Here is a 13,867-nt window from a genome sequence, read left to right as displayed (position 1 = left end):
GAGTGAACAGTTTGCTATTCTTTCTGGATGACCAGTTTATGCCATCTTTTCTCTTTTGATATTCCATGATATGGCAGTCTCTTTCTTTATATTTAAGAGTTTTTAGTCATTATTGTCTGGCACAGTTGTGCAAACTGATCAGGATAACTGGAGGCAGGTGGATGATTGGGTTTAAGGAACTCTTTCTACTTTCTGCTAGAAAGAATTATCTTTTACATAAGGTATGACAAACATTAGATCTGTCCAAGAAGCCAGCCATTCCACTTAGCCATTCAGTCAACAAATATTACTGAGTGCCTCTAATATTGGTAAGGCATTTTACCACCTGGGGTTGCTGCTTCTTCAGGAATCAAGCTATGAATATGATTGTTTCCCCTGATGGACTGTGTGCTCCTTAAGGGATGGGACTGAGTCTTATTCATCTTTGTAGCTGCAGAACCTGGCATAGGAGTTGACACTAGGTGGTTGTCAAGAGCAAGATCTTTGTCTAGGTCCAAATCACTTGCTACCACTTGCTAGTAGTGTGACCATAGTCAAGTTATACAGCCTCTCTAAGGTTTGGTATAATCATTTGTAAAACATTAGGGGTTAGGGCTTCAACTTATGAATTTTGGGAGGACACAAACATGCAGTCCATAACAGGGACTGAGCAAATCTCTATGGTAACAGCATAGCTATGTTTTGAGCATTAAATAACACAAACATGTAAAGCAGCTATAGTGCCTGGCACATAGGGGTTCAATCATATTATGAGTATTAGGTTTACAATAAATGTAATTGAACTGATGCCCTAGGACCTAGTCTGACAATGGTCCTTTGTATATAAATTTGGGCAAGACATTTTACCTCTTGCAGTCTCTGTTTTTAAAAAGTTTATCTGTCAAACAGAAATACCTGCACGGGTACCTAACAGAATTATAATGAAAATGGAAAAGATTGCTCTGTTTCTTGATTACAAAAATAACCTAAATCCAGTAAATTATCTAAGCATAAATTCACAGAGTAAGAAAAGCTACCATGCTACTATAACACCTTTAAAAGATGACACAAATTCCTTAACTTGATAAAGAGAATCTATAAAAGACCTATAGCTAACATCATACTCAGTGTGAAAGTCTGAATATTTTCCCCCTAGGATAGGGGACAGGACAAGGATATCTGCTCTCACCACTCTTATTCAACATAGTAGTAGAATAGTATGCCAGGGCAAAAATACCAGGAAAGGAAATAAAAGGCATATTTATTGGATACGAAGAAATAAAACTGTCCCTATTCACAGGTGGATAATTATAGAAAATCATAAGAAATCCACAATGAAACTTCTAGGATTAATAAGTAGTGCAACAAGTTTGCAGGATACAAGATCAACATATAAAAATCAATCACATTTCTGTATACTAACAATGAACATGTGAAAACCAAAATTCAAAGCACAATACCATTTACAATTGCTCCAAAGAAAATGAAATACTTAGATAGAAATGTAACAGAACGTGTAGAGGATCTGTGTCCTGAAAATTTTTAAATGTTGATTAACTAAATCAAAGAAGACCTAAATAAATGCAGAGATATACTGGATTTCTGGATTGGAAGAATCAACATACTAAAAATGTCAGCTGTCACCAAATTATCAATAGGATTAATGCAGTTACTATAAAATCTCAGCAAGAATATTTTGTCAACATAGATAAGGTTATCCTAAAATTTATATTGAAATGTGCAGGACTAGAATAGCTACAACAGTTTTGAAAAAGAAGGATAGGCCAGGCTACCTGGGAGGCTGAGGCAGGAGAATCACTTGAACTCAGGAGGTGGAGGTTGCAATGAGCCAAGATCATGCCATTGCACTCCAGCCCGGGCAACAACAGTGAAACTCCGTCTCAAAAAAGAAAAAAAAAAATAGAAAAGAAAAAAAGGAAAAGAAGGGTAAAGGAGAGGAATCACTCTACCAATGTTAAGGATTACTATTTAGCTGTAGTAATCAAAACAGGGTGGTATTGGTGGAGACAGACACATGGAACACTGAAATGAAACAGGGAACCTAGAAGCAGACCCACACAAATATGCCCAACTGATTTTTGACAAAGGCATAAAAACAATTTAATGGAGGAAAGAGTATCTTTTCAACAAATGAACACATGATACTAGAGATAGCCTAGGTGTGCTCATGTGTGCATGCATACACACACACCCCCCTAAGTCTCACACCTTATACAAAAATTAACTCAAAGTAGATCACAGACTTACATGTGAAACTAAAATTTTTAGGAAAACACTCGGGAGAAAACCTTAGAGATTTATGGGTAGGCAGAGTTCTTTGACTTGACATCAAATGCATGATGAATAAAAAGGAAAAGGTGATAAACTGAACTTCATCAAATTAAGAACCTTTCGTCTGTGAAAGACCCTGTAAGAGAATAAAAAGACAAGCCACAGACTGAGAGAAAAGATTCACAAACCACATATCTAAGAAAAAACTTGTATTTAGAATATATAAAGCATCATCAAAATTCGACAGTAAAAAAACAAAACAAAACAATCCAATTAGAAGATAGGCAAAAGACATGAACAGACATTTCAACAAAAAGGAGATACAGATAGCAAATCAGCATGTGAAAAGATGTTCAGCATCACATGCCATTAGAGAAATACAAATTAAAACCACAATGAAGCCGAGCGCAGTGGCTCCTGCCTGTAATCCCAGCACTTTCAGGGGCTGAGGCGGGGGGATCCCTTGAGGCCAGGAGTTTGTGACCAGCCTGGCCAACATGGTGAAACTCTGTCTCTACTAAAAATGCAAAAATTAACTGGGCGTAGAGGCAACACGCCTGTAATTTCAGCTACTGGGGAGGCTGAGGCAGGAGAATCACTTGAACCCGGGAGGCAGAGGTTGTGGTGAGCCAAGATCGTGTCATTGCACTCCAGCCTGGGAGACAGAGTGAAACCCTGTCCAAAAAAAAAAAAAAAAAACTGCACACACACACACACACACACACACACTGAGAACTCACTACACACCTACCAGCAACACTAAAATAAAATAAAATAAAATAAAACATAGTGGTTTGTTTGACAAACATTCTTTTCTTTTCTCATATGCAATACATGGTACGAAGTTCACCCTGGTCCCAGGTAAATGTTGCCAAAGCCATCATGGGACCTATGTGCACAGTCGCAAAGGTTTGAGAGGTTTCTGATTAGAGAAGCAACTTAGACCCTTGGAAGGGATCTTGGTGGGTGTAGTTCCTTGGTCTCACTCACCTCCCTTGCAGTGCAGCAAATCATTTCACTCACAGGCCTGAGCAGTTTTAGAACATCCTTGTAGAAAATAATATGTTACTCCCTTGGGTCTTTTTTCTCGGCCAGCAAAACTGAAAAACACAGACCTACAGGCTTAGGGGGCCACAGAGGGCTCTAGAAGAAAAAAAAAGTAAGTAAAAAAGAGATTTGGGGTCTTAAAGTTTCACCGAAGAGGCAAGGATATAACACCAAATTTTCCTAAGTTTATCTGAAAATTGTAATCCCTGTGAACCATTAAGCTGTACTGACATTAAAAAAAAAACCACTATTGACTTGCAGGTTGGCACAAATAGTCTAGTCTGGTCCATACTTGCAAATGAACTTTGTTTCATTTCTTGTTGCTTTGCACTAGTATTTATTTTGAAGAGAAGATTGAATGAGAGGGGAAGCAATATTTAAGGCAATTCTGAGTTATATGTAACTTGACACTGTGAACCAAGAGTCATAAAAATGTCTACATCAGGCCAGGTGTGGTGACTCATGCCTGTAATTCCAGCACTTTGGGAGGCCAAGGTGGGAGGATCATTTGAGGCCAGGAGTTTGAGATCAGCTTGGGCAACATAGCGAGACCCCATCTCTACAAAAAAATTTTAAAAATTAGTCAGGTGTGATGGTGCTTGCATATACTCCCAGCTGCTGGGGAGGCTGAGGCACAGGAGAATCTTTTGAGCCCATGAGTTTGAGGTTACAGTGAGCTATGATCTTGTACTGCACTTCATTGTGGGTGACAGAATGAGACCTTATCTCTTAAAAAAAGAAAAAGGAAAAAAAATCTATATTGTAATGTTAAAATTGACTTTAGGGGAACCTAACCTACCAAATTAATTTAGAATGTGAAAGATGCCATATAAACATTATTCATCTATTCATTGCTAAGTTATTGGTAGGAATAAAAATTTGGAAGCAATTTGATGACCTATAATAAGAATAAATTATTAAATTCTTATTTAATAAACTATTGCATACATTTGCATATGATTATGAAGATTATGCAACAACATAGAAAATCCTTAAAATGTCATGTGTTAAGAGATTACACCACCCAAATGGAAAAGATGGAAAGGAAATATGTCAAATGTTAACAGCTGTGTTTGGGTAATAGGATGATTAGTTGTTTTTTTCTTCCTTTTCTCTCATGATTATTTTAATCAGTTTCCAATTTTATAAATTGGAAAATCAATTTAAAGCACCCAACTGAAAAAGACAAAAACTTAAAGCCAGAAAGAATGAAGTGGGGTTACTTTGAAGTTAGCTGTTGTGCGCATAGCTTCATGAGGCATTTCAGAGGGGACGAAATCTCAAAACAGTTATTGCAATTTGTTAGGCGATTGCATTTATTCTGAGAGTGATTGGAGTGGTTGGAAAAACAGTAGAATAATAGCACGAGAAACTAGACCCTCCCACCCCCAGCTGCCAGTAATTCAACCTAGGGCTTTAAGAACCAATTTCTGTCCATTCAAAGTGCGCTTGGTCCTGGAGACTGCCTCCCCCAGGCCATTGTGATGGTGATGGCCTGGTCCCCTCAACAGCTCCCGGAGGACCAGGCACTTACTGGCAGAGCCCGGGCAGCTGTCTGGAGTGGTGTTGCGGGTCGTCAGAGACTCGCAGCCTGTGCAACGATGACCTGGAGGTGAACAGTCCCCTTTCTCATACCTACTCCCCAGAGGCAACAGCCCCCTCATTAGGGTACAGTTTCTAATCCAAACAACCATTAATCTTTCTCAGGGTTAAAAGGCCAGGAAAGCAATTTTTGCGCGTTCGCGCTATTTTGATACTGTACTTGTCTGTATTTTACAAGAGCAGACTTACTTCACTGACCACTTGAAAACACCCCACAGCTGTGTCCACAGCTACTCGAACAATGCCATAGAGAGGGACAGGAGTGCAAAACGAGCCAGCTATTTATTGTGGCACTCAACAATAAATAGAAACATGACCTATTTGGAACAAATCAGTATTCTGTATCAAAAAATAAATTAGGGATATGCATGTATTTTAAGTGAAAATGCCACCGTATGATGATAGTTTTATGAACATAGTATTTTCCAAACTCTTGAATACCACTCTATTAAATGTCCTTGCCTTGGTAGGTATTTTAATCCACATAAATGGAGCTGCGACTCTTAAGAATTTTTCTTAAAGGACATCTATAGAAAAATAGGATACAGAATCAGAAAAAATACACTTAATTATTGTCTCTGAAACATGAAATGTTTGATTTACAGAAATGGGCCTAATCTAGCTTATCCTCTTTTAATAGCTAGTAAGTCACAAAACTCACCTTTTCCATAATCTCTAATTGTAAGGGCCAGAATGATGGGTATCCAGATAAAAACACCAAGTCTTCCTAAATCTGTTTCTTCATGCTTGACCTTTAAATTCTTCCTCTACAGAGTCATCATCAATATGAATACCAAACACTCCTCTTGGTGAGTCACATTCAGACGTCTGGCTACTGTTAGCAAAGGCACTGAACATTTGAGAGAGATGGGGGGAGAATGCATATTTGTATCTCAAATTATTTTACATCGAATTTTCCCAATTCGAAAATCTCACATTAAGGACCAGGTAATACATAAAACCTAGTCATAGCATTTTCTTTCTTTCTTTTCTTTTCTTTTCTTTTTTTTTTTTTTTGAGACAGAGTTTTGCTCTGTTGCCTAGGATAGAGTGCAGTGATGTGGTCTCAGCTCACTGCAACCTCCACCCTCCAGGTTCAAGTGATTCTCATGCCTCAGCCTCCTGAGTAGCTAGGACTACAGGTATGCACCACTACGCCCAGCTAATTTTTGTATTTTTTGTAGATATGGTGTTTCACCATGCCATGTTGCCCAGGCTGGTCTCAAAACTCCTGGACTTAAGCAATCCTCCTGCCTCAGCCTCCACTGTGCCCGGCCTCATAGCATTTTCAAGCTGGAAGAGGCCTTAGTTGAATGAACTAAGACTCAGACAAAACTGAAACAAAATCCAGGGCCCTTGAACCCTAGCCTAATGCTCTTCTAATAATGTCATATCACATTGCCTAATATATTATAAGTGTTCTCAAACTTACCTAGACTGCTTCTGAGGTGGGGGTGGTGAGGGAAAAATATATGTGTATGTGTATACATATAAGTTTTTGCCATGCTAAATATATTTTGAGACTCTCATTAACAACTTTTACTGAAGTTTCCTGAAGGATCTCAGATTGGCAGAGTTTAGCTGTTCTCTGCCTCATTCATGCCCAGCTTCTGCCCTCATCTCCAGGATTCTCCTGAAGAGCTAGAAGAAATTTTAGCTAGCTATGATCTGCAAGGTGTAGCTGAAATTCTACTGGCACCATCTTAAGCCTATGTTTGGGGCACTTGGTATAAAAAAATTTGAATGTTCTGTAGAAATTAAAATTACACCTTAATAATACCATTTCTAAGTAAAAAATGTACACATATATAGCTAGTTATACAACATATATTTATGCATACAAAATTACTGGAATAACATATACAAAATTTTTACATAGCTATCTTTTGGATGGTGCAGTATGAACAATGATTTTCTTTTGTGTTTATCTTTGTATTAACAGTTTTTGGTACCGAATATATTTTATGTCTGTAGTTAGAGAAAACCCCCAATAAACATTATTTTAAAATCTCAACAAAATAAAGACCTTTATGGAGATCAAGTGGCCTAGGCAAGTTGAATGGCACAGTAATGCTTTTCTCATCTGTTTGAAAAAAATCCTGAAGTAATTATATTACTCATTTATAAGATTAAAAATTTAATTCAATTTAAAATGTGAGTAAATCTGCAAGTACTCTGAGATCTATACTGCCAAAGCTTGGGCAAGAAAACCTCAGTGGGTTAACTTTTGAAAGGAAAAATGAGCTGTCCAGGTTTCTGTAGCCTGGGAATAAAAGGGAGGAAGAGTATCACACTAGTTGGATTCTACTTGCATGCTGTAATCTGTAACCTACAAAACTGCTTCTTTTCGAATTAATGTATTCAGAGCACCAGAAACATTTTTCCAGAGGGAATAACCATGTAGGATGTTAGTTTTTGCTTTTTGTTTTTGTTTTTGTTTTTTTTTTTTTAAACAAAACAAAACAAAAAAACCAACTTATTCACCAGAGGATTGGTCTCTAATATTTTACCCCTGTGGATTTGTTTTTACCTTTTAAATACGTTACTAGTATTTTTATAAAATAAAACGAATCTGACCTAAAACATTAAAATGACATTTTTCTTTCCTTTCCCTTCTCTTTTATAAATGTTAGAAAAGTAATATATGCTTGTTGTAGCAAATCCAAACAATACAGAAGTTTATAAAATAAAAAATGAGGCTGGGAGTGGTGGCTCATGCCTGTAATCCCAGGACTTTGGGAGGCCAAGGCGAGAGGATCACTGGAGCTCAGGAGTTTGAGACCAGCCTGGGCAACATGGCGACACCCCGTGTCTACAAAAAATACAAAAATAAATAAATAAATAAGTCAGGCATGGTGGTGCATGCCTGTAGTCCCGGCTACTCAGCAGATTGAGATGGGAGGATCACCTGAGCCCGGGAAGTGGAGGCTGCAGCGAGTCATGATTGTACCACTGCACTTCAGCCTGGGCAATAGGAGTGAGACCCTGTCTCAAAAAATAAATAAATAGCTACTCAGGAAGCTGAGGCAGGAGAATCACTTGAACCCAGGAGGTGGAGGTTGCAGTGAGCCGAGAACGTACCACTGTACTCCAGCCTGGGAGACAGGGCAAGACTCCATTTCAAAAAAATAAATAAAAATAAATGAATAAATGAATAAATAAATAAATAAAGTGAACATTTTCTCTTAGTTCTCCACACCCCAAATTCCATTTCTCCAGTAATAACTTTTAAATTTTGATGTGTATCTTTCTTTTGTATGTATATGTAGATATATGTTTATGTATAATTGAAAAAGTAAAAATCAGATCATACTAATATATAATTATTTGGTAGCTTGCTTTCTGCCAACTTCCCAGTATATTATGGACTCATTTCCAAGAGATTTACTTCATCTTTATTAACAGTACCATAGTATTCCACTGTCTAGTATACTATAAGTGATCTATATACCAATAATGAATACTTAAGGTTGTTTCAAATCTTTTATTATTAGAAAAGTGCTGCCAGAAACATCCTTGCCATGCTTCTGTATGTACTGGTGCTAGTGTTTCTATCAGATAAATTTTTAGACATGAAGTGAATTACTAGGCATAGGAAATATAATTTACACTTTTGATAGATACTGAGTTTTTGCTCATTTGCTACATGAAACAGAGGCAGAGTATTCTGTGTGGGGTTTGGGACAGGAACACTGACCCCTGAAGTCGAGCCTGGGGGTCTAACATAGTGGTCATTTGTCCAGCCTGTTTTATGGAAGGAACTGGACTCTGAGCTTTGGGGAATTTCCTGCAAGATAAATGTATATCCCACCTATACTGGTAACAGGTAAGTTATGCGCAAAGATGAAAAGACAAAGCCCTAGCTAGATCAGCTCTTGCTCTCAGCACTACAATGGCCAGCGGTAATTCTTTCAGTTAAAATGACAATTAATACAGTTTCATTGAAGCTTCAAACAGAGCAGCCAGATCCTCTTCTGACTGGGGACAGGGTGCAAGCTTGGTGACCCTTTCCTGAAACAGTAAATGAAAGAAGTTACCCAGGGCTTTGAAAAGGCAGTTTGTAAAAGCTACAAAGTTATGGAAATTAACTTGGTCATAAGAATCAATGACTTGATAAACGCCATATCTTTAAAAACGGTATTTCTTGTATACTTCATATGAGTTGATCCCCATCTCAGAGGTTTATCACATCATACCTCTTTCCCCACAGAGCTTTCGAAAGCCACTGCCCCTTGCCTTACGCCCTGGCAACAGCCTTCTGCCGAAACCAATCTTGGGGAAAACACCCTTATCATGACAAAACTAGGTCAGTCAACCACCTCTGCCAGGTTCTCTGTACACACAGAGCTCTGAGAGAGAACTGGGTCGTCCCCGAAGTCTAAGACCATGTATTTTGCAACTTGGACTTAAGGCATATTCAAAAGGACTTCAGTAGAACATTAATGTTCATGCTATGTGCAACAAGTGACTCCGTTTTTTTCTATTAACTAAGGTTTTATCTCTATGTTCCCAAGCAAATCCAGTGATTTGTTAATTTCTCCAATGATTATTGAGTCAATTCAGCGAAGACATCCAGCACATCCTACTTCTATTTATACTCTGGTCAGTAGCTTCTCGGGGACAGGGGCTAAAATGTACAGCGATGACTCCCCTGGCACCTGCATGAAACTGAGGAATGTCCATTTTGAGGTTCCATTTTCATGGGTCTCTGGGCATGTTTTCTATTGCTGGCATGTGTTTGGGAGTGTAGCTAGTGGAAGGGAAACTTGTGAGGCCAGGGGCTCAGCTGTGTGCACTGCTCTCTGCCCTGCGCCTACCAGAGGGCTTTACATAGTAAGTAGATGCTCAACAGTTATCTGCTGAATTAGTGAAGATGGTGGGGAGGGGGATACTGGAGTCTCAAAGTTCACATATACAAGATAGAACTCTGACTCTCCCACCCCACCGCTCCTACCATTTTCTCATCTCAGAAATGACACCCAGTAGCTCAGGCAAAACCCAGGAGCCACACTTGATTCCCCTTTCCCTTGCTCTGCAAGTTCAACTCATCAGCAGGAGTGTCAGTCCTACTTCCAAAATGAAGCCCCAGTCAGAGCGCTTCTCACCTCCTGTGGTACCACAACCGGAATCCAGGACACTGCTATCACTCGCCTGTCCAGCTTGAGAAGCTTCCTGAAAGGTCTGTTTCCACTTTTGCTCCATTCTTGCCCCCCAGAGGTCATTCTCCCCACAGCAGCCAAAGTGATTTTTTTCCAGTATAAACTGAATCCTACCATTCCTGTGTTTAATGCTCGCAGATAAATGCCTGTGGCAATTACAACAAAACCATGGCCTCTAAGGCTACCCCGATCTGGCTCTGTTTCCTGCCCCAGCTCTAACACCTCACTTAGTCCCACCATCCCTTTTAAGTTCCTTGAATATGCTAACGTTGACCCTGCCTCAGGGCCCTTCCCCTCTGCCTAGAAAGCATTGGCCTATCATCATGCACCTTCCCAACACCCTGGCTGGAGATCTCTCCACACTTTCCCCGTGAGATCACTCTCTATCTCCTTATGCAGGTTTTCCTTCATACACTAATCATTATCTGAAATGATTTCATTTACATCTTATTTATAGATGTTCACTGTCTCCCCTCACTAGAAGGTAAGCTTCACAAAGGAGAAAAGGGACTTTATTTTCCTTCTTTTAGTATACCGTACAATGCATGGTATACAGTAGGTATTTGTTTTGTCTGGTAAAAGGAATGAAAAGAAGGATGGATGTATTAAAAAAATTCGCTCAAAATGCATCAAAAACCTAAATGTAAGAGCTAGAACCCTAAAACTCTTAGAAGAATAATTAGGGAAAAATCTTTAGGAATATTGGCTTTGGCAATGATTTCTTGGATGTAACACCAGAAGCACAGGGAGTCCAGTGCGGTGGTCCCAGCACTTTGGGAGGCTGAGGCAGGCGGATCACTTGAGGTCAGGAGTTCGAGACCAGCCTGGCCAACATGGTGAAACCCTGTCTCTACTAAAAATACAAAAAAAAAAAAAAAAAAAAATTCAGCTGGGTGTGGTGGTGGGCAGCTATAATCCCACCTACTCAGGAGGCTGAGGCAGGAGAATTGCTTGAGCCTGGGAGGTGGAGATTGCAGTGAGCCGAGATTGCACCACTGCACTCCAGCCTGGCCAACAGAGCAAGACTCTGTCTCTAAAAGAAAAAAAAGAAAAAGCACAGGGAAAAAAGAAAAAAAAAAACAGATAAACTAGGCTGAATAAAAATTTAAAACTTTTGTGCATCAAAGGACATGGTCAAGAGAGTGAAAAGACAACAAAATTAAAAAAAATTGCAAATCATATATCTGATAAGGGATTAATATTCAGGATATAAAAATTATTCTGGTTGAGCACAGTGGCTCACACCTGTAATCCCAGCACTTTGGGAGGCCGAGGCGGGTGGATCATGAGGTCAAGAGATTGAGACCATCCTGGCCAACACAGTGAAACCCCATCTCTACTAAAAATACAAAAATTAGCCGGGTGTGGTGGTGCACGCCTGTAGTCCCAGTTACTCAGGAGGCTAAGGCAGGAGAACTGCTTGAACCCAGGAGGCGGAGGTTGCAGTGAGCCAAGATTGCACCACTGCACTCCAGCCTGATGACAGAGCAAGAATCCGTCTCAAAAAAAGAAAAAAATTATTCTTGCAACTCACCAACAAAAAACCTCAAACAGCTCAATTCAAAAATGGGCATAGGACTTGATTAGTTATTTCTCCAAAGAATATATATATATACATAGCCAATAAGCACATGAAAAGATGCTCACCATCCTTAGTCATTTGGGAAATGCAAATCAAAACAATAAGATACCACTTCACACCATTAGAATGGCTATTACACACACACAAAAGAAAAATAACAAGTGTTGTTGAGGATGTGAAGAAACTGAAGCCCTGGTGCACTGTTAATGGAAATGTAAAATGGTGCAGCCACTATAGAAAACAGTTTAGCAGTTCCTCAGAAAGTTAAACATAGAGTTACTATATGATACAACAATTCTACTCCTAGGTATATACCCCAAAGAATTGAAAGCAGGGACTCAAATAGATACTTGTACACCAATATTCATCGCAGCATTATTCATAATAGTCAAAAGGTGGAAACAACCCAAGTGTCTATCAATAGGTAAATGCATAACCAAAATGTAGTATATCCATACAATGGAACATTATTCAGCTATAAAAAAGGAATAAAATTCTGACACATGCTACAACGTGGATGAACACTAAAGGCACTGTGCTGGGTGAAATAAGCCAGTCACAAAAGGACAAATATTGTATGATTTCACTTACATGAGGTACCTAGGATAGGCAAATTCATAGAGACAGAAAGTAGGACAGAGGTTCCCAGGGGCTGTGAGAAGGGGAGAACGGGGAATTCGTGTTTAACAGACACACCACTTGTTTGGCATGATTAAAAAAAGAGTTCTGAAAATGGATAGTGGTGATGGTTGCACAACATTGTGCATGTATTTAATGGCATGGCATTGTACACTTAAAAATGGTTAAAATGGTAAATTTTATGTTATACATATTTTATCACAATTTAAAAGATAAGTTAAAGCAGGAAGAAAGGATAGAGGGACAGATGAGAGAGGGGTGAGGGACAATGCCTATGAGTATGGGTGAGGTAAAGACAAAGTTTCACATCCCAGCAGATTTTTAAGAGACCCTAAGGAATTTTGGAAATCCATAGCAAGGCAGAGGGTCTCATTATGTATGTGTTTGTGCAGGGTCAAGAACTGAAGTTCAGTGTTTGCTGTAACTGCAGATGATGGCAAGTTACGTTGTTCATAATGGGAGAGAGTCTTATCTGATGAGCTCAAAGGCCCTTGACATGATCCTGTTTATCTTTGGTGGAGCGGTGCAGGACTCTTAGAAGTATTTGAAGCCAAGCCTGAGCTGAGTTTCTGTTTCGCGTTTCTGGCCCCCAGTGATTGGTTAAACAGGACAAGGACATAAAGTTTGTGATATGTCCCTATACATATCAGCTCTGCCATAAAAAAGCTAAACTCTCTCAGAATTAAGATATGTTAAGCAATGATGTGCTATTATTTATAGGCATGTAAGAGTGAAGGACAACTCATTAACATGGGAACGAAATAAATTCAGACATCTACTTTTAGCACGTTCATGAAATAACAACATTTCAGCTGGCCTGTCTACCAGGGAGTGGAAGTGCTCATTTGGGTAGACAGCGCTCCTCAGTAATGAAATGTTTTGATTTGAAATGTAAATGTTTCTTTCCAGGGGTTTTAGAAATCCAGCTTGGAAGATTAATATATTCTTGCCTGCTCCCCTTGCAGCCTGGCTATGGCAGTTGAAAGCCTCTGTACACAGGGCTGCTATTAGCTGCCACCAGTATGGGCTGTGTTTGGTCAAGAATACTGGCCTGGTTGTTTCTTCCAGAGAAAACCAATCCTTCACTGCTGAACAGAAAAGAACCTTCATCAAATGTCAACTACATTGAATAACCTTTCTGGTGACGTTCTTTGGAGGAGCCAGTATATTCTTCTCACTACCTTAAATCCTGGAGATACTAATAAGCGAAGATTAGTCTATTGCATGTGTAAAACTCTGAAGTGGCCACAGCATTCCTGTAAAACAGTCACTGCCATCAAACAAACAAACAAAATTCCATAGTAGTTATTCATCTGCAAAATGGACAAGCTTATTTCTAAGATTCCTACCAAAGTCCTATCGATCTGTGAATATACACATATCTCAATCACGTAGACTCCAAATGAACCTAGGGCTAGTTTAATTAAAATTAACTATATTTCTCTGAATCATGAAAACATGATCAGAGGAAAAAAGGCAGCAGATGCCTTGGGGTGTTTTATGAATACAGCCTGAGGAAAATCTGGCTTCCTACTTTAAGACAGAACTTATATCCAAAAGATTCCAT

General features: G+C 39.2%; 1 protein-coding gene across 1 annotated transcript in view; it reads right to left on the bottom strand.

The window, feature by feature from the left end:
- Nucleotides 1-8,292: 8,292 nt before the first annotated feature.
- The window catches only part of ADHFE1 (alcohol dehydrogenase iron containing 1), a 36,404-nt gene continuing 30,829 nt past the window's right edge, over nucleotides 8,293-13,867 (bottom strand). The window contains exon 14 of the mRNA NM_144650.3: nucleotides 8,293-8,931. Coding sequence (NP_653251.2) covers nucleotides 8,848-8,931 — 84 coding nt within the window. The 3' untranslated portion in view covers nucleotides 8,293-8,847. The remainder of the gene's footprint in view (nucleotides 8,932-13,867) is intronic.

The sequence above is a fragment of the Homo sapiens genome, chromosome 8 (assembly GCF_000001405.40).
Source record: "Homo sapiens chromosome 8, GRCh38.p14 Primary Assembly".
NCBI lineage: Eukaryota > Metazoa > Chordata > Mammalia > Primates > Hominidae > Homo > Homo sapiens.
Note: the sequence above shows the minus strand (reverse complement) of the source record. Positions and strands in the feature narration are given on the sequence as shown.